This window comes from Homo sapiens, chromosome 8, assembly GCF_000001405.40.
Source record: "Homo sapiens chromosome 8, GRCh38.p14 Primary Assembly".
Taxonomy (NCBI): domain Eukaryota; kingdom Metazoa; phylum Chordata; class Mammalia; order Primates; family Hominidae; genus Homo; species Homo sapiens.
This window is the reverse complement of record NC_000008.11, coordinates 18,084,250-18,107,210: the sequence shown is the minus strand read 5'-3', so window position 1 is coordinate 18,107,210 and position 22,961 is coordinate 18,084,250. Positions and strand designations below refer to the sequence as shown.

Sequence of the window (22,961 nt, the reverse complement as noted above, 5' to 3'; positions counted from 1 at the left end):
CTTACTTTGGATATGGGTTTCCTTATCCTGCACGCAGTGCTTCTGTCAAGATTGACATCTGTGGACTCATGGAATGCCTTGTCCACTGTCATGGTATTACACACAGCATTGCCTCTGACCAAGGCACTGATTTTATGGCTAAAGAAGTGTAGCAGGGGCTCATGCTCATAAAATTCACTGGTCTTACTATGTTCCCCATCATCCTGAAGCAGCTGGGTTAATAGAACAGTGAAATGGCCTTTTGAAGTCACAATTACAATGCCCACTAGGTGACAATATTTTGTAGGGCTGGGGCAAAGTTCTCCAGAAGGTCATGTGAGCTCTGAATCAGCATCCAATATATGATACTGTTTCTCCCATAGCCAGGATTCACAGGTACAGGAATCGAGGGGTGGAAATGGAAGTGGCACCACTCACCATCACCCCTGGTGATCCACTAGCAAAATTTTTGCATCTTGCTCCCACATTAGGTTCTGCTGGCCTAGAGGTCTTAGTTCCAGAGGAAGGAATGCTGCCACCAGCAGACACAACAAAGATTCCATTAAACTGGAAGTTAAGATTGAGACCTACAAAACAATGGTAAGAAACATCCCTCAAAAGCATGTTTTAAACACTTGCTTAGAGAGTTCTCCTTGGGAGATAGTTCTATTCATTGAAAGAAAATAGTACATAATGCATCTCCAAAGAAGCATTTTTAGATTTAGCTTTTAAATGTATATATGGAAACCCATCAAAATTAGGTCTTAAAAACAAAGGTAAGAAACATCCTTCGAAAGTATGTTCCAAACACCTGATTACAGTTTTTTCTCTCTGAAAAACAATTCCATTCACTGAGAGAAAAAAAGCACAAGTTCCTTTAAAGAAGCTGGGAGATCAAAATTAAAAAAGCTTCTGCACAGCAAAGGAACCAACAAAACAAAAAGACAATGTACACAATGGGAGAACTTTTTCACAAACCTTATCTTGGATAAAGGGTTAATATCTAAAATATGTAAGAAACTTCTGCAACCCAATTGCAAAAAATAATAATAATAATCAGATTAAAAATGGCCAAAGGTACTGACTAGACATTTAAAGAAGTCATACAAATGGCCAACAGGTGTGTGAAAAGGTGCCTAACATCACTAATCAAGAAATACAAATTAATATCATAATGAGCCAGGTGCGGTGGCTCATGCCTGTAATCTTAGCATTTTGGGAGGTCGAGGCAGGTGGATCACCTGGGTTCAGGAGTTGGAGACCAGCCTGGCAAAAATGGTGAAAACCCATCTCTGCTAAAAATACAAAAAAAATTAGCCAGGCGTGGTGGTGGGTGCCTGTAATCCCAGCTACTCAGGAGGCTGAGGCACGAGAATCGCTTGAACCCAAGAGGCAGAGGTTGCAGTGAGCTGAGATTGTGCCACTGCACCCCAGCCTGGGTGACACGGCAAGACTGCATCTCAAAAAAAAATTAAAAATAATATAATAAAATAAAATCACAATGAGATATCACCTTGAACCTATTAGGATGACTTTAATCAATAAAAAATAAAAAGATGGCTGGGTACAGTGGCTCATGCCTATAATCCCAGCACTTTGGGAAGCTGAGGCAGGTGGACCACTTAGCCCAGGAGTTTGAGACCAGCCTGGGCAACATGGCAAAACCCGAGCTCTACAAAAAAATACAAAAATCAGGTAGGTGTGTTGGCATGCACCTGTAGTCCCAGCTACTTGGGAGGCTGAAGTAGGAGGATCAATTGAGCCCAGGAAGTCAAGGCTACAGTGAGCCATGATCACACCACTGCACTCCAGCCTGGATGACAGAGCAAGATCCTGTCTCAAAAAATACATAAAAAAATTTTTAAAAGATAATAAGTGATGAGGTTGTGGAGAAAAGGGAATCCTAGCACACTATTGGTGTAAATATATTATTGATTCAGCCACTGTGAAAAATAGTGAGGAAGTTCTTTAAAAAAAAAACAAAAAATGGAACTACATATGATCCAGCAATCCCATTTCTGGTCATATAACTAAAGGAATTGATATCAAAATCTCAAAGAGATATCTTCACTCCCATGTTCATTGCAGCATTTTTCACAATAGCCAAGATATGACAATGACCTAAATGTTCAAATGAATGACAAATGAATGGATTTAACATAATGGAATATTATTCAGCCTTAAAAAATGATGCAATCCTGCATATTTTCTACACTATGGATGAACCTTGAAGACATGCTAAGTGAAATAAGCCAGATGCAGGGGGACAAATGCTACATAATGTCATTTGTATTAGGCTGTTTTTGCATGGCTATAAAGAAATGCCCGAGACTGGGTAATTCATAAGAAAAGAAGTTTAATTGACTCACAGTTCTATGGGCTATACAGGAAGCATGGTGCGGGCATCTGCTTGGCTTCTAGGGAGGCCTCAGGAAGCTTACAGTCATGGCAGAAGGAAAGGGAGAGCAGGCATCTCATATGGTGAAAGCAGGAGCAAAAAGGAGAGAAAGTTGGGGGAAGTACCACACACTGTTAAATGACCATATCTCACAAGAACACAGTGTCATGAAGACAGCACCAAGCCATGAGGGATCCAACCTGTGATCTAAGCACCTCCCACCAGGTCCCACCTCCAGCAATGGAGATTACAATTCAACATGAGATGTGGGCAGGGCATCCAAACTATATTATTTCTTCCCTGGCCCCTCCCAAATGTCCTTCTCACATTCATTGCAAAATAGAATCATGCCATCCCAATAGTCCCCCAAAGTCTTAACTCATTTCAGCATTAACTCAAAAGTCCAAAGTCTCATCTGAGACAAAGCAAGTCCATTTTACCTATGAGACTGTAAAATCAAAGACAAGTTATTTACTTCCAAGATACAATGGAAATATCGGCACTGGGTCAACATTTCCATTCCAAAAAGGAGAAACTAGTCAAAAGAAAGGGAGTACAGGCCCCATGCAAGTTCTATACCCAGCAGGAGAGTCAATAAATCTTAAAGCTCCACAATAATCTATTTTGACTCCATATCCCACATCTAGGGCACACCGATGAAAGGGGTGGACTCCTAAGGCCTTGGGAAGCTCTGCCCCTGTGGTTTGCAGGGTTCAGCCTCCACAGCTGCTCTCATGGTTTGTTGAGTACCTGTGGATTTTCCAGGTGCAGGGTATAAGCTTCCAGTGGCTCTACCGCTCTGGGGTCTAGAGGACAGTAACCCCTTTCTAAGAGCTCCACTAGGTAGTGCCCCACTGGACACTCTGTGGAGGCTTCAGCCTCATGTTTCCCCTTGGCACTGCCCTAGTAGAAAGCTCTCTGTGAGGGCTCTGCCCCTGCAGCAGACTTCTGCCTGGGCGCCCAGGCTTTTCCATACATCCTTTGAAATCTAGGCAGAGGCTGCCATATCTCTTTTATTATTGCATTCTGTGCACCTACAAGTTTAATACTATGTGGAAGCTGCCAAGGCTTAGAGCTTGCACCCCCTGGAGCTATGGCCTGAGCTATATTTGGGCTCCTTTGAACCAAGGCTGGAGCCAGAACAGTGGGAATGTGGGGAACAGTGTCTTCAGACTGAGCAGGGAAGTGGGACCCTGGGCCTGGCCTATGAAACCATTCTTTGCTCCTTGGTTTCTAGGCCTGTGATGGGAGGGACTGCCATGAAAGTCTCTGAAATGCCTTCAAGGCCTTTTCTGCATTATCTTGGCTATTAGCACTTGGCTCCCTTTCTCTTGGTAAATTTCTCTAGCAAGCGGTTACTTCACAGCCTGCTTGAATTTCTCTCCTGAGAAAAAGCTTTTTCTTTCTGTGCCACATGTCCAGGCTGCAAATTTTCCAAACTTCTACACTGTGCTTCCCTTTTAAAATTTAAATTCCAACTTTAAATCATTTCTATGCTCCTGCATCTGAGCATAGGCTGTAAGAAGCAGCCAGACCACATTTTGAATACTTTGTTGCTTAGAAATTTCTTCCCCCAGATATCCTAAATCATCATCCTTTAGTTCAAAATTCCACAGATCCCTAGGGCATGAACAGAATACAGCCAAGTTCTTTGCTAAGGCACAACATGCATGACCTTTGCTCCAGTTCCCAATAAATTCCTTATTTCCATCTGAGACCTCATCAGCATGGACTTTACTGTCCTTATCACTATCGAGCATTTTGGTCACAACCATTTAACCAGTCTATAAGAAGTTGTAAACTTTCCCTCATCTTCCTGTCTTTTTCTGAACCCTCCGAACTCTTCCAACCTCTGCTTATTACCCAATTCCAAAGTCGCTTCCAGAATTTCAGGTATGGTATCTTTATATCAATGCCTCACTCCTTGATACCAATTTTATGTATTAGGCCATTTTTGCGTTGCTATAAGGAAATGCCTGAGACTAGGTAATTTATAAGAAAAGAGGTTTAGTTGGCTCATGGTTCTGCAGGCTGTAGAGGAAGCATAGCACCTGCAGCAGCTTCTGGGGAGGCCTTATGAGGCTTACAATAATGGCAGAAGGCAAAGGGGGAGTAGGGATCTCATATAGTGAAAGCAATAGCGAGAGGGAAAGAAAGGGGGGAGGGTGTGCAACACAGTTTTACATGACCAGATATCATGAGAACTCACTATCACAAAAAGCACCATGCCGTGAGGGATCTGGCCCCATGATCTAAACACTTCCCACAGGTCCCACCTCCAGCACTGGGGATTACAATTCAACATGAGATTTGGGCAGGACATCCAAACCATATCACATTTATATGATGAATCTAAAACAATCCGATTTATAGAAGGTGAGTAGAATGGTGGTTGCCAAAGGCTGGGAGAAGGGGAAATGGAAAGGTGTTAGTCAAAGGGTACTGATACGGTTTGGCTGTGTCCGCACACAAATCTCATCTTGAATTATAGCTCCCATAATTCCCACATGTCATATGAGGGCCCCAGTGGGAGGTAACTGAATCATAGGGACAGGTCTTTTCCATGCTATTCTCGTGATAGTGAATAAGTCTCACGAGATCTGATGGTTTTATAAAGAGGAGTTCCCCTGCACACACTCTCTTGCTTGCCACCATGTAGGATATGACTTGCTCCTCTTTGCCTTCTGCCGTGATTCTGAGGCCTCCCCAGGCATGTGGAACTGTGAGTCAAATAAACCTCTTTCCTTTATTTGGAGACAATAAAGGTATTTCTTTATTAGCAGCATGAAAATGGACTAATACAGGTACAAAATGTTGTCCATACAAGATAAATAAGTCCTAGAGATCTCCTGTACAGCATAGTGCCCATAGAAACAATACTATATTGTATGCTTAAAATTTTGCTAAAACGGTAGATCTTATATGAAGTCATCACAAAAATAATACTACTAAATAAGAGGTCAGGAGGAAACTTTTGGAGGTGACAGATAGGCTTATGGCATAGATTATAGTGATTGTGCCATGGATATATGCTAATCTCTGAACTCACCAAGTTATATACATTAATAATGTAAAGATTTTCACATGTCCAAAATAACTTTTTAAGGATTATTTTTTAAATGACATGAGGAGGCATTGAAAATACAAGCTGCATTCTGGGAGAAGATATTGGCAATACATTTAACTAGTAAAGGGTTAGTATTTATGATACATGAAGAGCAACTCTGCATGAGTTACAAAGAAAAAAAGAGCTTAATTTAAATAAATAGGCCAATAGAAACAGGTGTTTTAACAAGACAAAACATGAAAGCCCATAAAGATATAAGTAAATATTCAGCCTTATCAACAGCTGTGGACTGGTAATATTTAACAACCAGTCCTCCAATGTGAGGAAAGCCCTGGCTTGTAGTATTTGCTTATTTCTGTGTAGTAAATATCATAGACTTTTCAAGTTACTAGTGTCAAGAGCCAACTTCAATACCCAATACTTTAATAACTAGGGAACTGCAAAATAAAGCTTCAATGAGACAGCATTTGCAGTCACCAAACTGGTAAAAATTTAAAAGTCAGTTAAAACCAGAGTTGGCAAGAATAGGAAACAATGGGAACTCTCATCCATTGTTTGTGGTAGTAAGTGGGAGTCATCACTTTGGTTGATTATCTGAATATTCCACAAGTTGTAGATTCCACTTTTTTGGACTTTTGCATTTAAGTTATGGACTCAATGTTGGTATCCAAGAGTAGATTTTATCTTTCCTACATGATTCTGGTAAAAGACAGTAAAGGGTTGTGGTTGGCTTAGCTGTGCTTCCTGTATCTTTACTAGAGCAAAAACAAAAATCCAGAAACTTTAGAGCCTGGAGAATAGAGAGAAAACCTAACTCAGACATAGTCTGAGATAAAAACCTAATCCCCAAGGTATCTCACCCTTAGGTCTTTGACCTAACCCTTATTCCAGAACCCACACTTTTTCCAACGCCCATCACATTAGAGACTTTTTAAATATAGGCCGGAGAGTGAGAGTACCATTTCTATGTATATAAAGAGAGCAAGAGAGAGAAAGAAAAAAATGAAAGAAGTGTGGTTGAGTAAAGAAAAGAAAAGTCTTGTTAGAACGTGAATGCATGTTTCCACAAAGCACTGTTATTTAGACAGGTTAGTTTCTCAGTTCTAAAAATAGTCAATAAATCAATCATCAACATGTTTATTATGCACCTAAGCGATGTCAGGCATTGTGCTAGATATTGCGAATGTGGTGATAAATGACATAGACATGATCTCTGTCTTGATAGAGTTTACAGGTTATTAAGGAAGTCAGATATTAAACAATTCATAAATGATCAATCAAATAATTATAAGTGTGCGAAGTACTGAAAAGGAAAATTACAGGATATTTGAGAATTGATTAATAGGGTGAAAAACTTGGTTTGAAGAGATGTAGGCCAGGGAAGGCTTCCCTAAGGAGGACAGGAGTTAAGCTCAACTCTGAGGGATGAGTAGGAGTTATAAGTGTGAAGACTCACATAGGAGAAAATATTCCATGCATTGGAATCCTGTGAGCAGGAACATTGAGATAGGAGACAGCAGGGTGTCTTGGAGGAACTGCTTTTTGGCTGGAAGGGAATGAATGATGAAGAGTGATTAAAAAAAACAAAAGCCAGAGAGGAAGTCAGACCTAATCTGGCTTCTGAGCAGAGCCTTTGGAGCCAGGTTGAGAAGCCCATAAGAGTAAGGGGATATCATTAAAAGGCATTAAGCAGGGAAGTGATATTATCAGATTTGCATTTCTAGAAGATCATTCTGGTTGCAGTTTAGAGGACGTTTTGAACAGTGAGAGAGTCCACGTAGGAATTTACTGCAGTGGTAGAGGAAAGAAATGATGGTAGGCTAGACTAGGATGCCGGCAGGGAGGGTGGAAAGAAGATGAGAGATTTGAGAGTTGTTTAAAACAATTAACTGTCTTAATGATTAGAATTAAATGTAGGTGATAAAGGAAAGAAGGAAGTCAAGGCAACTTCTAAATTTCAGGCTTGAGCATGAAAGTAGATGGTAATGTTATCTACTGAGATGGAGGATGAGCAGATTTGAAAGGAGGGAAAACTGATGAACTCAGTTTCTGACTTGTCTCAAGTCACCTATCAAATGCCACATAAATCAGACACAGAATCTGGACACAGAAGCCTTGGGAGGGAATGAAATCACTCTGGGAGACAATGTAGACTAATACAAGTTAGATAGGACAGAGACCAAGGATTTCCAACACTAGTGTGATGTAGTAGAGGAGGAGGTGATGAAAGACTGTGGAAATGAAGTCAAGGAAGGTTGCAGAAAACCAGTAGCTGGGGCATAATGGAAGCCATAAAAGGGAGGCTTTTTAAGGAAGAGGAAGTTGTCAATTTTATCCAATGTACTGAAGGATCTAACAAAATGAAAATTATCTTTTGCCTTACAGAGCTCACTGGGTACCTCAGCAAGAGCATTTTTGGCAGAGGTTGTTGGTGCAATATCCAGATGGAGAAGTATTGGTGGGTGAGTTAGAGGTGAGGAAATAAATATAATAAAGTCAATTCAACACTTTTAAACTTAAAGCAACAGTAATAAATGCAAAATATTTTTGTATTATATAGACAGGGTAAGTTTTTATTTTGCCAAGCAGAATTTTTTTAATTCTACCTACTAGTGCCATTATTTTATTAAAAAGCATTCAATTTCAGAAAAATAAGAAGGATATAAAAGAATAATGAACACTCTTCGGGAGAAAACAGTAACCTTAATCTGACTCATATCTGTAACTTGCTATATGAGTAAACATGGACTACATTAGCTTATTTGTTTCTTATTTTGCCACAGACACCTAAAAATATCTCCCAGTGGTCTTATAGTCCATGGATCAGTATTTGGGAATTTCCAGTGTAGTTTTCTTTTGAGAACTTTGGCTATGAATGAGGGAGAGTGAGGTTAGTAACAGGATCCAAGGAAGACTTTTTCTTAACATAGGAGAGACTTGAGTATATGTAAATGTTAATATCAAGAAGCCAATAGAAAAGAAGAGGCTGAAGATGCAAGAGAGAGAAGTCTTAATTTATGGCATGGTGTTCCATAAAAGGAAGAAGAGATTGGGCTAAAACAGAAGGGGCAACCTCTCCATTGTAGCAGAAGAGAAGTAGAAAAGTATAGAGATAGATGTAGACCATATGCAGACTTGATGGCAGAAAATTGAGGCAATTCCCTTCTGAAATTAACATTTTCTCCATGAAGAAGAAGACATGGTAATCTAAGAGCAACAGAAGAAATAATAGACAAAGTTTTGAGAAGATTTCAAAGAGTTAAGAGAGATAACATGCCTGAGAATCACAGATTTGCTGCATAGTATTGAGGGCCCAGTAGATTGTCTGCCATAAATTTATAATGACATCAAGTCTGCTGAGTAGAAGTCAATAGTCCAGGTGTACGTATATAGAGGATATAGATAGTTGTATTCATCCAGGGTTGGGGTTTTACAGAATGGGCAATGAAAGAACAAAAAGGGAGAAAGTTTAATATATTGGCAAGTAAGTGGTTAAAATGGTGGCCCATGGAACCTAAGCTGCAGAGGAGAGGAGAGGAAGAAAGCAGATAAGTTGATGAAAACAGAAAAACCTACCAGAGGAGAATATTTCCCTGACCCCTTTGCAGGACTCACGACAGGGGCGCCTCATTTACTCTGCCTGCCATTCTCAACTCCTCATGGGAGGCAGCGCACCAGCAAACAAGGCAGGAACTGGAGTGCACAAGCACTGGAACCAGCCAGCTACTTTGGCACCAGCGGGATCAAACTCCACTCACTTGGACCCACTGTGTTCCACCCCACAGGAGGGAACACACAGGTGAGTAGGTACAGGAGCTAGAGCAAGCACTCTGGGGCACCAGCAGGAGCAAACTCCATACAGACCCCACAGCAACATCCCTGCAGGGTGCCTGCAACTCCTGAAGTCCCAGAGGGTGTGTTACAGTGCTCTTTCAGCTCTTCCACCCGTGGACAGCTTGAGTGTTAAAAGCTCAGTGAGCCTTCTGCTCTTTTGCATGAGGTGGCTGCCCTCCTCCGGTGAGGGCAAAGGGCCAGTGTGACAGCCTTTTGTATCGCACTGATGGTTCCTGAGCTCTTGACCGGCGTCCAGGAGAAATAAGGTCATACAAACAAATCGAAGGATAGCAAATGCAGTGTATTTTATTGCCGATGAAAGTGGCTCTCAGCAGGAAGGGGAGCTGAAAAGAGGGTGGGGCGGCAGGTAATCTTTCCCTGGAGTCCACCCATCTCTGGCTGCATTCTTCTCCAAAGTTATGTCATCAAGCTGTCCCTCTGAAGTCCGGCTGCTTCTCTCTGATGTCCAGCTGTTTCTCCCCTCTGCTGGCTGAGTCTGGGGTCTTTATAGGCACAAGATAGGGTGGGGCAGGCTATGGGTAGTTTAGGAAAAGACAACATTCAAGCAGGAAAACGGGAATATAAGTTCTCACTTTAGGCAGTGGTTTCAAGCTTTTCAGCTTTAGGGTGGTGCTTTGCCAGGGATCTTCCCATCTGCCTAGAATTTCTCTGCCTCCTGCCTCTATCACTGTATCACTATCAAAGAACAGCTATAACTGGGTGAAACATCTAGAAAGCTAAGAAGCCTATACTCTAGATACAGCTGTTTGTGTGTAAGATAGGTATCTTCCATTCTGGTCCTTCCTTTTTTTAGACTACTTTATATCTGAATTTTATGGCTTACGTAAGGTTTTATGATCTGACCTGGAAATTTAGTATAAGTGGTGAGGTACATGCCTCAAAATCAGAAAACAGGCATAGTTGCATAAGCTAAATATCAGATGTCTTATCCATAAGATGGGGATAATAACAGCACTTACTTTATATTTGTAGGAAAAATGCATATTGACTTTCCAACACCCAACTTAAAGACATCTGGAAAATAATTCATTTGCATTCTGGTAATTCATTACATTATTTCAGACACTACTTGGGTTATGATATCAATGCAGTTATTTTTTAGGTAGCTCATTTATTCAATTAATATTCATTGAGTGCTACTACATGCCAGACATTGCTCTAGCTGCTGACAATATGGCGGTAAACAAAACAAAAATCTCTGTCCTCATGGAGCTTGCATTCTAGTTAGAGGCAGACAGATGCTAAACAAATAAAAAATAAAATATGTACTACGTCAGGTGGTGACAGTGTTTGGAGTCAGGTGAAGTAGAGTAAGGAGGATAGGGAGTATGTTCTGAGTCCTACCTTATATCCATCTTATATATAATGCTATAGGAAGGCCTCACTAATAAGGGGCCACTCAAGCATTTGGGTGTGCCACATGGGTATCTGGGAAAGAACATTCCAAACAAAGGTAGCAGTAAGTGCTATGTCCCTCAAGGAGAGTATATTTGGCATGTTTGAAGTCCAGAAAGAAGGCCAGTGTGATTGGAGCACTGTGAGAAAACAGGAAAGTGGTAGTATATAAGATGGGCTGGTTGGATCAAAGTAGCCTTGTGGTCTGTGGTGAGATAATTGACTTTAGGCTGGGCATGGTGGCTCATGCCTGTAATCCCAGTACTTTGCGAGGCCAAGGTGGGTGGATCACCTGAGGTCAGGAGTTCAAGACCAGCTTGGCCAACATGGTGAAACCCCAACTCTATTAACAATATAAAAATTAGCCAGGCATTGTGCGCACCTGTAATCCCAACTACTCAGGAGGCTAAGGCAGGAGAATCGCTTGAATCTGGGAGGCGGAGGCTGCAGTGAGCTGAGATCACACTACTTACTGCACTCCAGCCTGGGTGACAGCACAAGAATCCATCTCAAAAAAAAAAAAAAAAAAGATCATTGACTTTAATTCTGAGCAGGGTGGGGAGGGCGGAGTCACTGGGGGGATTTGGGGGCCAGGAGTGACATGCTCTGATTTTTTGGAGATTAGATGGGGGTTAGGAGAAAGCAGAGATACCAGTGACAAGGTGACTACAATAATCCAGATGAGAGTAACCTGGAAGAAAGCAGAAGTGGAAAGTGGTGAGAAGTGGTCAGATTCGGGGTATCGTATATTTTGAACGTAAAGCTAATAGGATTTGCTGGTGCATTGAGTTTGTGGTAAGAAAGAGAAAAATCAAATTGACTGTAAGATTCTTTGGCCTAAGCAAACTAGAAAGATGGGATTGCCATTTACTGAGATGGGGAAGATTTGGGAAAGGGACAGTGTATATTGGGACGGAGAAAACATAAGTTCCTTTTTAGACATGACATATTAAGATGCCTATTAGGTATCCAAAGTAGATGAGGCTGAGAAGCAACTACATATAAGAATCTAAATTCAGGGGACAGGTCTGAGCTAGTGACATAAATTTGGGAGTCACTGTCTTAGTCCATTTGTGCTGCTATAACAGTACCTGAGATTGGGTGATTTATAAAGAACAGATATTTATTTTCTCAGTTTTGGAGGTTAAGTCCAAGATCAAGACCACAGCCTCTGGTGCAGCCTTCTTACTGTGTTCTCCTCTGGTAGAAGGAAGAAGAGCAAAAGATGCCAACTGTTTGGTGAAGACTTTTTATGTTTTATTTTTATTTTTAGAGGTGAAACACAATTTTATTTGTTAATTAGCCATTTATGTTTTCTCTTTTTTTAATTTTACTTTAAGTTCCAGGATACACATGCAGAATGAGGTTACATAGGTAAACATGTGCCATAGTGGTTTGCGGCACCTATCAACCCATCACCTAGGTATTAAGCCTCACATGCATTACCTATTCATCCTAATGCTCTCCCTCCCCTCACCCTACCCTGACAGGCCCCAGTGTGTGTTGTTCCCCTCCCTGTGTCCATGTTTTCTCATTGTTCAGCTCCCACTTATGAGTGAGAACATACAGTGTTTGGTTTTCTCTTCCTGTGTTAGTTTGCTGAGAATCATGGCTGCGAAGCCTTGTTCTTTTTTTTTTTTTTTTGAGATGGAATCTTGCTCTGTTAGCAGGCTGGAGTGCAGTGGCATGATCTTGGCTCACTACAACTCCCGCCTCCCAGGTTCAAGCGATTCTCCAGCCCCAGCCTCCCGAGTAGCTGGGACTACAGGTGTGTGCCACCATGCCCAGCTAATTTTTGTATTTTTAGAGACAAAATGTTTGTAATTTTAGAGACAGGGTTTCACCATATTGGGCAGGCTGGTCTCCAACTCCTGACCTTGCGATCTGCCTGCCTCGGCCTCCCAAAGTGCTGGGATTACAGGCGTGAGCCACCGTGCCCGGCCGCGAGGCCTTTTTGATAAAGGCCTTAATTCCATTCACTAGGGAGGAACCCTCATGAGGTTATCACCTTTTAAAGAAGGCACCTCTTACTACCAGCACACTGACAACACCTGAATTTTGGAGGGACACATTTAAACCATAGCTGTCATCAATATTCAGATGGAACTAAAGTCATGAGAGTGAATGAGGTCACATTAAGTGGTAAGCATAGATAAATAAGAAACAACGTCTGATGACCAGGCCCTAGGGTACTCCTACATATAGAGATCAGTTGATGAGGAGAAACCAACAGATGCTATTCAAAATGTGGCCAGTGAGTAATGGAAGAATCAAGAGAATGGTACCCCAGAAGCAAAATGATGTAAATATTCCAATGTCTAAGATATGACCATGGAACTGGGTATTTGAGGTAAAATGGCATCCAAGAACATTTTCAGAAGTCAGGAAACCAGAATATTGGAAAGATTGTCTTTGTGGATGTTGAAATCACCAAGAATGTTGCCAAGAGTCAGGTTTAAAAGAGTGACAGTGAGTCAGGTGTCAAAACCTTCAAAGAGTGAGGAGAAGCAGGGGACCCCAGAGGTCTACAGATAACTACAGTGTGATGGCAAGTCAAGTAACTGTGAATGTTCTGGAATGTTGAAATTTCTAAGTCAAGTAATTGTGAATGCTCTGGAATGTTGAAGTTTCCAAGCCAAGTAATTCTGAATGTTCTGGAATGTTGGAGTTTCCAAGTCAAGTAACTGTGAATGTTCTGGAATTTGAAGTTTCCAAGTTAAGTAATTGTGAATGTTCTGGAATGTTGAAGTTTCCAAGTCAAGTAATTGTGAATGTTTCGGGTGTTGGTAACAATTAGGTTGGCTATATGAAAGTGTTAATATTCAAATACATTTTATCTACAAAAATGGTAATTTCATATCTTCAACCAAATAGAACATGTGTAAAATATGCTTCAGTTAAAGCTGCCTTTATAAGTCTATATATATAAGGGGACTTCAAAAAGTCCATGGAAAATGCATGCTATAAAATAACTACGTATGATTTCAAAATTTGTTTGCACCAAAATAAACTCATACTATGTTACTGTAGTATGTCTCAAAGGATCTAGCTGGAGGTAATAGGAAGGATAAATCGTCAGTCAGAAAAAAGCCCCTATATAAGCAACACAAATTCTGTAAAATTGAAGCAAGAATATCAAGTTTATGGTAAAGCTTGGGTAGAAGAACAGTGAAATCACTAATGCTTTACAAAAAGTTTATGGGGACAATGCCCCAAAGAAATCAGCAGTTTACAAACAAACAAGTCAATTTAAAAAGGATGAGACAACATTGAAGATGAAACCCACAGTGCCAGATCATTACATCAAGTTGTGAGAAAAAAATTCATCATCTTCATGCCCTAATTGAAGAGGACTAACAACAGCACAAATAACAGCCAACAGCATAGACATCTCAACTTGTTCAGCTTACACAATTACAAGTGAAAAATTATAGTTGAGCAAACCTTCCCCTCAATGAATGCCAAAACCATTACATCCAGATCAGCTGCAGTCAAGAGTAGACCTTTTAAATGAACATTTTAAACAAGTGAGATCAGGATGCTGAAGCATTTATTTGAAGAACTGTAACAGGATGGCTTTACCAGTAGGATCCTGAACACAAGGCACGATTAAAGCAATGGCTTCCAAGAATTGCAAATGGTCCAGTCAAAGCAAAAGCAGACCAGGCCAGGCGCGGTGGCTTACACCTGTAATCCCAGCACTTTGGGAGGCCAGTGCAGGTGGGTCACTTCAGGCCAGGAGTTTGAGACCAGTCTGGCCAACATGGTGAAGCCTCATCTCTACTAAAAATACAAAAATAAAGCCAGGCGCCATGGCTCATACCTGTAATCTCAGCACTTTGGGAGGCCGAGGCAGGTGGATCGTTTGAGGTCAGGAGTTTGAGACCCTCCTGGTCAACACGGTGAGAGCCTGTCTCTACTAAAAATACAAAAATTAGCCGGGCGTAGCGGCATGCACCTGTAATCCCAGCTGCTCCGGAGGCTGAGGCATGAGAATCACTTGAGCCTGGGAGGCAGACGTTGCAGTGAGCCGAGATGGCACCACTGCACTCCAACCTGGGTGACAGAGCGAGACTCTGTCTCCAAGAAATAACAATAAAATAAAAATATAAATATAAATATACAAAATTAGTCAGGAGTGGTGGTGCATGTCTGTAATCTCAGCTACTCGGGAGGCTGAGGCAGGAGAATTGTTTGAACCTGGGAGGTGGAGGGTGCAGGTGCAGTGAGCCGAGATTGCACCACTGCGCTCCAGTCTGGGTGAGAGAACAAGACTCTGTCTCCAAAAACAAACAAACAAAGCAGTCAAGAGCAAAGATCATGGCAACATTTCTTTTTGATGCTCAAGGCATTTCGCTTGTTGATTTTCTGGAGGGCCAAAAAATGACAACATCTCCTTATTATTAGAGTATTTTGAGAAAGCCAAAGCCTTATCAGAAAAATGCCCAGGAGATTCACCAGAGAGTCCTTCTTCACCATGACAATGCTCCTGCCCATTCCTCTCATCAAACAAGGGCAATTTTGCAAGAGCTTCCACAGGAAATCTTTCTGACTTCTTTTTGTTTCCTAATCTTAAAAAATCTGTAAAGGGCACCCATTTTTCTTCAGTTAATAAAGACTGCATTGACATGGTTAAATTCCCAGGACCCTCTTTTTTTTAAGGATGGACTAAATGGCTGGTATCATCCCTGACAAAAGTGTCTTGACCTTGATGGTGCTTATGACAGGAGGCTGAGGCAGGAGAATGGCGTGAACCTGGGAGGGGGAGCTTGCAGTGAGCCGAGATTGCACCACTGCACTCCAGCCTGGGCGACAGAGGGAGACTCCATCTCACAAAAAAAAAAAAAAAAAGAAATAAAGTTTATACTTTTTATCCTTTAACTCCATCTTTGAACCTGGGAGGTGGAGGGTGCAGGTGAACGTTTTGAAGTCCCCTTGTATATATATTAGTGTTATATTCTTTTTCGGTTGCAAACTCCCTGAGATCTGGAATTTGTATTTCACTGCATGTGTATCTTCCATAGCACCTAGTAATCTGCTCTTCATTTAATGGTCATTTAGTACTTTCTATACACACATTATTACTATAATTGTTATTGTTGGCTTCTGTTGTCATTTCAGGGTGACTGTCATACTCCTCACCTTTCTGAGCTGGGAAACAGTTGAGAAATATACACAGGCGTTAGAAATATACACATATTAGATTCTGCTTTCTTGCTCATTAAGCTGAAATAGAGAAAACAATTTTGACCTGAGGCCAAAATGGAACTTCAACACCTTCTACTTTGGAATGAGCTTGTGTACTCAGTCTTTAGGCAAATGCAAATGACTTTTCAGGGGCACAGCCAATTTCTAACAGGAGGGGAGTGAGCTGAGGGCAGGGTGAGGATGGAGGCGCAGGGACCGGATGTGCAGGAGGTGCTTATAGGCGCTATTCCTTGACTGCCTTCTCTCTACATCTCTCAGAGCTCTCATTTTAGAGTGCTTTCTTCCAAATCTTCACAGCCATTACGTTATAACGTCATGATTTTAAAGTCTGTTGGTGACGTGCCACTTTGGGAAGATGTGGTCAAAGGCAGCAACTACTTTCACGTCCACTGTTGTCATTCAAGGCTTGCTGCAGTAGAATTACCAGTGTGGGCAGGCATATCTACTACTGTGGGGAGGCAGATCTGAATGAAAGCGCCAGAAGAGAGGCCAGGCCACGCACGTTCTGTGACCTTTTCAACTATTTACTGATTAGATACATCATACATCTCTCCTTCCCTAGGGAGACATGAATGGAGGAGACGGCAGAGAAAGGTGGACATTTTCTTCCAACAACATCTGATGCTAGATCCAGGTTTGGTGACACCTGAATCTTATGCAATTTAAGTGGTCCTCCTTAAGGAAAAGAATACAAAATTACAAGCATAAAATTTAGTAAAAGGTTGGGAAGGGGCATGAGCAAGTGAAGGTACTAAAACTTAAAGTTCATAGATTTGTTGTACATCCTTCTCAACAAAGGAGAAATGTCTATTTTCATGTGTGTATCAGTTAGGATGCTCTCAGATACAATAATTTAACTTGTAAGCAAACCAACTTGTCCAAGATTCAATAACAGAGTAGTGGCTGATGTAAATCAAGAGTCCAGTTGTTGGACAGGATCTGTGGTTGGTTGATCTAGCATCTTGACAATGTCATCAATGACCCAGTTTCTTTCCATCTTTCTACTGTGTAGTCCACAGTATCAATTTCATCTTAGGTGGCTCCCTTCAGGTTTATAGCATGCATGCCAGCAGCAATGGGGATTCCTAGCTTCCTCTTTCATATTAGAAGGGAGAAGACAAGGCCAAGCATGGTGGCTCACGCCTGTAACCCCAGCACTTTGGGAGGCTGAGGCGGGTGGATCACCTGAGGTCAGGAGTTCGAGACCAGCCTGGCTGACATGGTGAAACCTCGTCTCTACTAAAAATACAAAAAATTAGCTGGGCATGGTGGTGGGCGCCTGTAATCCCAGCTACTTGGGAGGCTGAGGCAGGAAAATTGCTTGAATCCGGGAGGCAGAGGTTGCAGTGAGCCAAGATCGGGCCACCTCACTCCAACTTGGGTGACAGAGCTAGACTCCATCTCAAAAAAAAAAAAAAAAGAATAGCATTACTGATTCCCAAATAGATGATGCTGAAGTTGTTTATACAATTGACATTCAGAAATATATTCCATGCTATCAGTTTTTTAGTTTTTATAATTCTTCAGGTGAAGTAAATAAGCAGGCACTGAGGAAAATATTATCAAATTCACAAAAAATGTGGTAGGTTGTTACAAATTCCATCGTCATTCAGATCAGATCATGACATTTAGAGAGAGGCTGCTTCACAAAAACTTGCAGGAGCATTTTTCAAACCAAGACCTGGTTTTTCTGCTATGAACACCAAGTATAATAACAGAAAGCCGCTCTACTCATCGACTGGAACATGCCTTATATAAACCTCGAAAAGGACTTTTTCACAGGGTACCTTCAGTGGTTGCCAATCTGGGCATGTCTGAACAACTAGGTTATAAAACTGTATCAGGTTCCTGTATGTCCACTGGTTTTAGCCGAGCAGTACAAACACACAGCTCTAAATTTTTTGAAGAAGATGGATCCTTAAAGGAGGTACATAAGATAAATGAAATGTATGCTTCATTGTAAGAGAAATTAAAGAGTATATGCAAAAAAGTGGAAGACAGTGAACAAGCAGTAGATAAACTAGTAAAGGATGTAAACAGATTAAAACGAGAAATTGAAAAAAGGAGATGAGCCCAGATTCCAGCAGAACGAGAGAAGAGCATCCAAAAAAGACCCTCAGGAGAACATTTTTCTTTGTCAAACATTATGGACCTTTTTTCCAGATTCTGAATTCTTCATGCATGTGTTATGTCTTTAAAAAAACAGACATGTTTCTAAAGGTAGCTCTAACAACCACCACCATCTCGATGTAGTAGACAATCTGACCTTAATGGTAGAAAACACTGACATTCCTGAAGCTAGTCCAGCTAGTACACCACAAATGGTTAAGCATAAAACCTTAGACTTAGCTGACAGATGGCAGTTCAAGAGATGACGGCGGACGGATCACGAGGTCAGGAGATCGAGACCATCCTGGCTAACACAGTGAAACCCCATCTCTAATACAAAAAAATTGGCTGGGCGCGGTGGCTCACGACTATAATCCCAGCACTTTGGGAGGCCAAGGTGGGCGGATCAGGAGGTCAGGAGACAGAGACCATCCTGGCTAACATGGTGAAACCCTGTCTCTATTAAAATACAAAAAATTAGCCCGGCGTGGTGGCAGGTGCCTGTAGTCCCAGCTGCTTGGGAGGCTGAGGCAGGAGAATGGTGTGAACCCAGAAGGCGGAGCTTGCAGTGAGCTGAGATCCTGCCACTGCACTCCAGCCTGGGCTACAGAGGAATACTTCGACTCAGGAGAAAAAAAAAAAAAAAAAAGAGTGTTCACGGCTGTTAGACACACAAGACAAACCATCTAAAACAGATACTGATAGTAGTAACCAATAAAAAAGCATCCAAAATGAGCAGCCCAGAAACAGATGAAGAGATTGAAAAGATGAAGGTTTTGGTGAATATTCACGGTCACCTACATTTTGATCCTTTTAACCTTAAAAGGAGATTTTTTTAATTTGGCTGATGGGTAAAGTCAAACATTTCCATTGTTTTTACTAGGTTGAGCTACTTGCAGTAATACAGGTAAGTTCATTTGTTTTTACTATATTCACCTCTTTGCAGTAATCCACAGATAAGTCTTAGTGCATTTATTTTACAAAGTACTTTTTCAAACATCAGATCCTTTTATTTCCAAACCTTTTTTCGCCTTTCAATAAGTTGTTGAGGGAAAGGCTTACACACATTCTTTAGAATTGGAAAAGTGAGGCCAGGCACAGTGGCTCACAGCTGTAATCCCAGCACTTAGGGAAGACAAGGCAGGAATGATTGAGGCCAGGAGTTAGAGACCAGCCTGGGCAACACAGTGAGACCCATCTCTATTAAAAAAAAAAAAAAAGTATTAGAAAAGCTAGAATAGCCTTATTTTCACAATGTGGAAAGAAATTTATATGAAATTTATCTGAGTCATTAAAATTATCCTTAGGTGATAATTTTTTAGAAGTACATTACAGCTAGTGTTGCCAGATAAAATGCTGGATCTCACGCAGTACCTTTGCAAAACATGATCTAAAATTTAAATTTGTCCTACATTTGTACTTGCTAAATCTGGCAGCCTTAATTATTACACAACTATAACGCAACACAAACAATAATCTCTCCCCTAGTTTAGAGTCCTTTGCACGAAATTTAGCAAATCCTTAATTTTGAGTACAGTACAAGCCTGGTAATCCAGTGTGTTTGGGATAGGCTGGTGGAACTCAGAACTGATACATATATACATACATGTCTATCACATTCACTGTCTATTAGGTGTAAATCATCTTTTTATGTAAAAGACACTACTGGTTTGAGGATAGAGTTGTCTAGGAATGTTTTGTCCTGCTGTGACAGCATCACTATGCATCCCAGTGTAACATTCCTACAAAGGGAAGATCTCTTAACCAGGCATACTTACATTTGCTAGTTAGAAAACCATTCTGAGCAGTTTTAACTCCATTCAGTTGAATGGTGTACTACATTGTATGAGCTATTTGTGGACCAGATATAAATGACTATCACCCAGAACCACTTTCATTCAACATATGTAAAATGTGATGAGTGTTAACATTTTAAATAAGCGATCTGCTTAATGAACACTGATTGGTATGAAGGGGAAGTGTCATTCTTTACCTCACTCCTGAAACACTTTTCTATCCAAAGGTTGGTTTGAGTCAGTATTGGCGTCATACAACCACTTACTATAAAATAAGTTTACTGGTGGTAATGTGATGGAATTTATTCCGGATATCTGATGTTATAAACTTTAGGGTCCCTGAAATATGCAGGATCCTTGTATGTAACTGGCATAAACCCTGTAAAGAGATAATTAAAGTTCTTGACAAAGCATAATGAGCAAAATTTCAGCTAGCTCAATACAGTTGTTGAGGTGCTCTTTCTTACCCATTGTTTGAGCTCTCTTAATTGCTTTTGTGATTTGTTTCTTCCCACAAAGACCTGTAAAATAAAAAGCTTCCTTATTCATAAAAAAGTCAATATTTAAAGTTAAAAAAATGTTTATTTCTCAAACTGAAACATTATTTCTCTATCTCTTGACCTTTTAGTACACGTTTTTGTATATTCGGTTTTACTAAATCAAGTCAAACCTGTTCCAGGTAATGTGATGTTATACATGATAGGTTTCATTTAGGGTGGGGTGGCTAAGTTGCAACCCTTTTAAATCAAGGCTCCACCTCAGGAACCTAGGAATGTTAGGTAGGAGATGAGGAAGTCCACAGCTTGCCAAGAACTTCAGCTATTCCATAAACAATCTGATTACATATCCCGACTCTTGCACACGAAACAGGTTATCCAAGTCTTAAACTTGATGCTTTTGTGCAGTATGAACCACCCTTTCCGTGGACATAATCATGCATTTGCACATTTAAATACCATTTTCTATGAACAGATCAGTATGCCAAAAACCACTGCAAAGTCTCCTACACACACCTTGCCTTGACTTTCTGTACATTTCTAGTATTAAAGAATGGTGTAGGCAAAATAAAGATATATGTGTAAGAAAAAAAAGACATGCATGAAATGGTTTAATTTTAGGGAACTAGATTTATATTTTATCTGAAAAGAGTATTAATAATATATAATAGACCTTTGAAAGTTAGACGCATAGTTCTGCGAAAGTGGTGCCTAAGAATAGTATGTCAATTGACAAATTTTTTCCATAAAGAATCTGATTTTGCTAGACTACCTAATCACCAATTAACATCCTCCAGTAGGGAAAAAAATATGCTTGGTGACATGTTTAAATCGCTCTCAAGAGTACTGAAGATGAATGATCTTCCAATCAAGTAGCTATTTGATTTAGTAATAACAACTAAAAGATGGGAATCCTCTTCTTCGCACACTCATTTTAAGCTCCAAGGTAATTCCATAGATTCAACATTTAACACGTATATTCAATATTACACATTTTTTTTCCGGAGTGAAATGGCTCTGAATGCCTTACAGAATTTGCCCTGCTCTCCTTAACTAAATACTTTGTCTATTAATACTTCTTTCTTCTTTTCCCCTTGTTCTTTCTGTGCCAGACCCACACACGTCTGCTGTAATTGAACATGCCAGGCACATTCTCCATTTAAAGCCTTTTAACAGCTGCTGTCTCTGCCTAGAATACTCTTACTTGGGCACACACAAAACTAGCTTCCTGGTCTCCCTCAACTGTCTGCTCAAACTTCACCTCCTTAATCATGTCTATCTGTCCCTCTTATTTAAAATTGTAACTCTACCACTTCTGATCTCCACACTTGATGCCCCTGGCCTCCCTTTTCCTCCACTGCATTTGTCACTAACATCCCGTATAATTTTCTTAGGTATTATGTTTATTGCCCATTTCTCACCGAGAACATACGCCTCAGGGTGGAAGAAGTTTGTCTTTTTGTTGTTGTTCACTGCTTATCCCCAGTGTCAGGAGACATGCTTGGCACATTGTAGGTCCGCAGTAAATATTTTTTGAATTAATAAAGAATATTTCTACCATCTGCTAGCTTACTGTTCATGCAGGAGCTCAAATGTGCTTTAAGCATGTGATATGTTTCAAAAGTCAAACTTCATCCTTAGGGAGAACACTGTCATCTTCTCCTCCTTTAAAAAAAAAAAATAGGAAAAAAAGCAAAACAAAACATCACCTTCTCATTTCCCCACCTCCAACAAAAAGAGTGTTGAGTTTTCTAAAGAAATAATACAAATGGATAAAACTGCAATTTGTTGTCCTTTCTCTCACATGCAAAAAGAAAAGAAAAAATACTGCCGAGATTTCGGCAGCGTGCTGAGCTTCATCAAAGCATTAAAACAATGCTGCTTGAGACGTCAGAGGCTCATCCAGGAAGTGCAACCCAGAGGGCAGGATTTCCTGCTGGACTTTGAAATCCAACCCGGTCACCTACCCGCGCGACTGTGTCCACGGATGGCACGAAAGCCAAGCGAGTCCCCCTGCCGAGCTACTCGCGTCCGCCTCCTCCCAAGCTGAGCTCTGCTCCGCCCACCTGAGTCCTTCGCCAGTTAGGAGGAAACACAGCCGCTTAATGAACTGCTGCATCGGGCTGGGAGAGAAAGCTCGCGGGTCCCACCGGGCCTCCTACCCAAGTCTCAGCGCGCTTTTCACCGAGGCCTCAATTCTGGGATTTGGCAGCTTTGCTGTGAAAGCCCAAGTGGGTAACCAACAGCTTGGAGGACCCGAGTGGATTCGATTCTCTCTCACTCCTCGGCCACTCAACTGCTCCTTGTCCCTGACTCCGCGGTGGGGATGAATAACTCAACTCATTTCGGGCCGCTTTTCTCAGAGGGCAAAGATGGGTCAGGGTGGGATGTTACATTAGTGTTGAGACTCTTTGGATCCGTTTCGTGGGTACCGAGGACGCCTGGGTACGCGGGACAGGCTGCACCCGCCTGCTAGAGGCGCCCCATCGAGGCGCCACGGGTGAAGCTCCCGGCCCCACCTACGGGGCGGGGCTCCGGCTCGGTCCGACTATTGCCCGCGGTGGGGGAGGGGGATGGATCACGCCACGCGCCAAAGGCGATCGCGACTCTCCTTCTGCAGGTAGCCTGGAAGGCTCTCTCTCTTTCTCTACGCCACC

The 22,961-nt window shown here is 41.4% G+C and overlaps 1 protein-coding gene, 1 long non-coding RNA gene and 2 pseudogenes across 4 annotated transcripts in view, besides 3 other annotated features; 2 read left to right on the top strand and 2 right to left on the bottom strand.

Annotated features, from left to right (window-relative positions):
* Window positions 1-9,559: 9,559 nt before the first annotated feature.
* On the bottom strand, window positions 9,560-22,343 carry ASAH1-AS1 (ASAH1 antisense RNA 1). Of its 2 annotated transcripts, NR_125429.1 has the most exons (5): window positions 22,272-22,343; window positions 21,726-21,969; window positions 20,275-20,328; window positions 20,074-20,186; window positions 9,560-11,385 (listed from the first exon to the last, which is right to left on the bottom strand). It is a non-coding gene; the product is annotated as an ASAH1 antisense RNA 1 (long non-coding RNA). The 2 variants fall into 2 exon arrangements; NR_125430.1 differs by lacking the exons at window positions 9,560-11,385; window positions 21,726-21,969 and adding an exon at window positions 19,000-19,211.
* Window positions 17,321-18,319, top strand: ABRAXAS1P2 (ABRAXAS1 pseudogene 2; annotated as a pseudogene).
* MRPS18CP3 (MRPS18C pseudogene 3) lies at window positions 19,575-20,329 on the bottom strand (annotated as a pseudogene).
* Window positions 22,122-22,657: an enhancer, noted in NCBI's record as "H3K27ac hESC enhancer chr8:17942063-17942598 (GRCh37/hg19 assembly coordinates)". NCBI's record gives its function as "activates a minimal SCP1, AML or CMV promoter by ChIP-STARR-seq in naive H9 embryonic stem cells {active_cell/tissue: H9 hESC(naive)}" and the evidence as "EXISTENCE:reporter gene assay evidence [ECO:0000049][PMID:30033119]".
* Window positions 22,122-22,737: a biological region, named in NCBI's record as "H3K27ac hESC enhancer GRCh37_chr8:17942063-17942598".
* The window catches only part of ASAH1 (N-acylsphingosine amidohydrolase 1), a 28,970-nt gene continuing 28,258 nt past the window's right edge, over window positions 22,250-22,961 (top strand). For both annotated transcript variants that reach the window (NM_004315.6, NM_001127505.3), the window contains exon 1: window positions 22,250-22,535. In NM_004315.6, the coding sequence (NP_004306.3) occupies window positions 22,410-22,535 (126 nt within the window). In that variant the 5' untranslated portion in view covers window positions 22,250-22,409. The remainder of the gene's footprint in view (window positions 22,536-22,961) is intronic.
* Window positions 22,458-22,737: an enhancer, noted in NCBI's record as "active region_27052". NCBI's record gives its function as "activates an Ori minimal core promoter by ATAC-STARR-seq in GM12878 lymphoblastoid cells {active_cell/tissue: GM12878}" and the evidence as "EXISTENCE:reporter gene assay evidence [ECO:0000049][PMID:35858748]".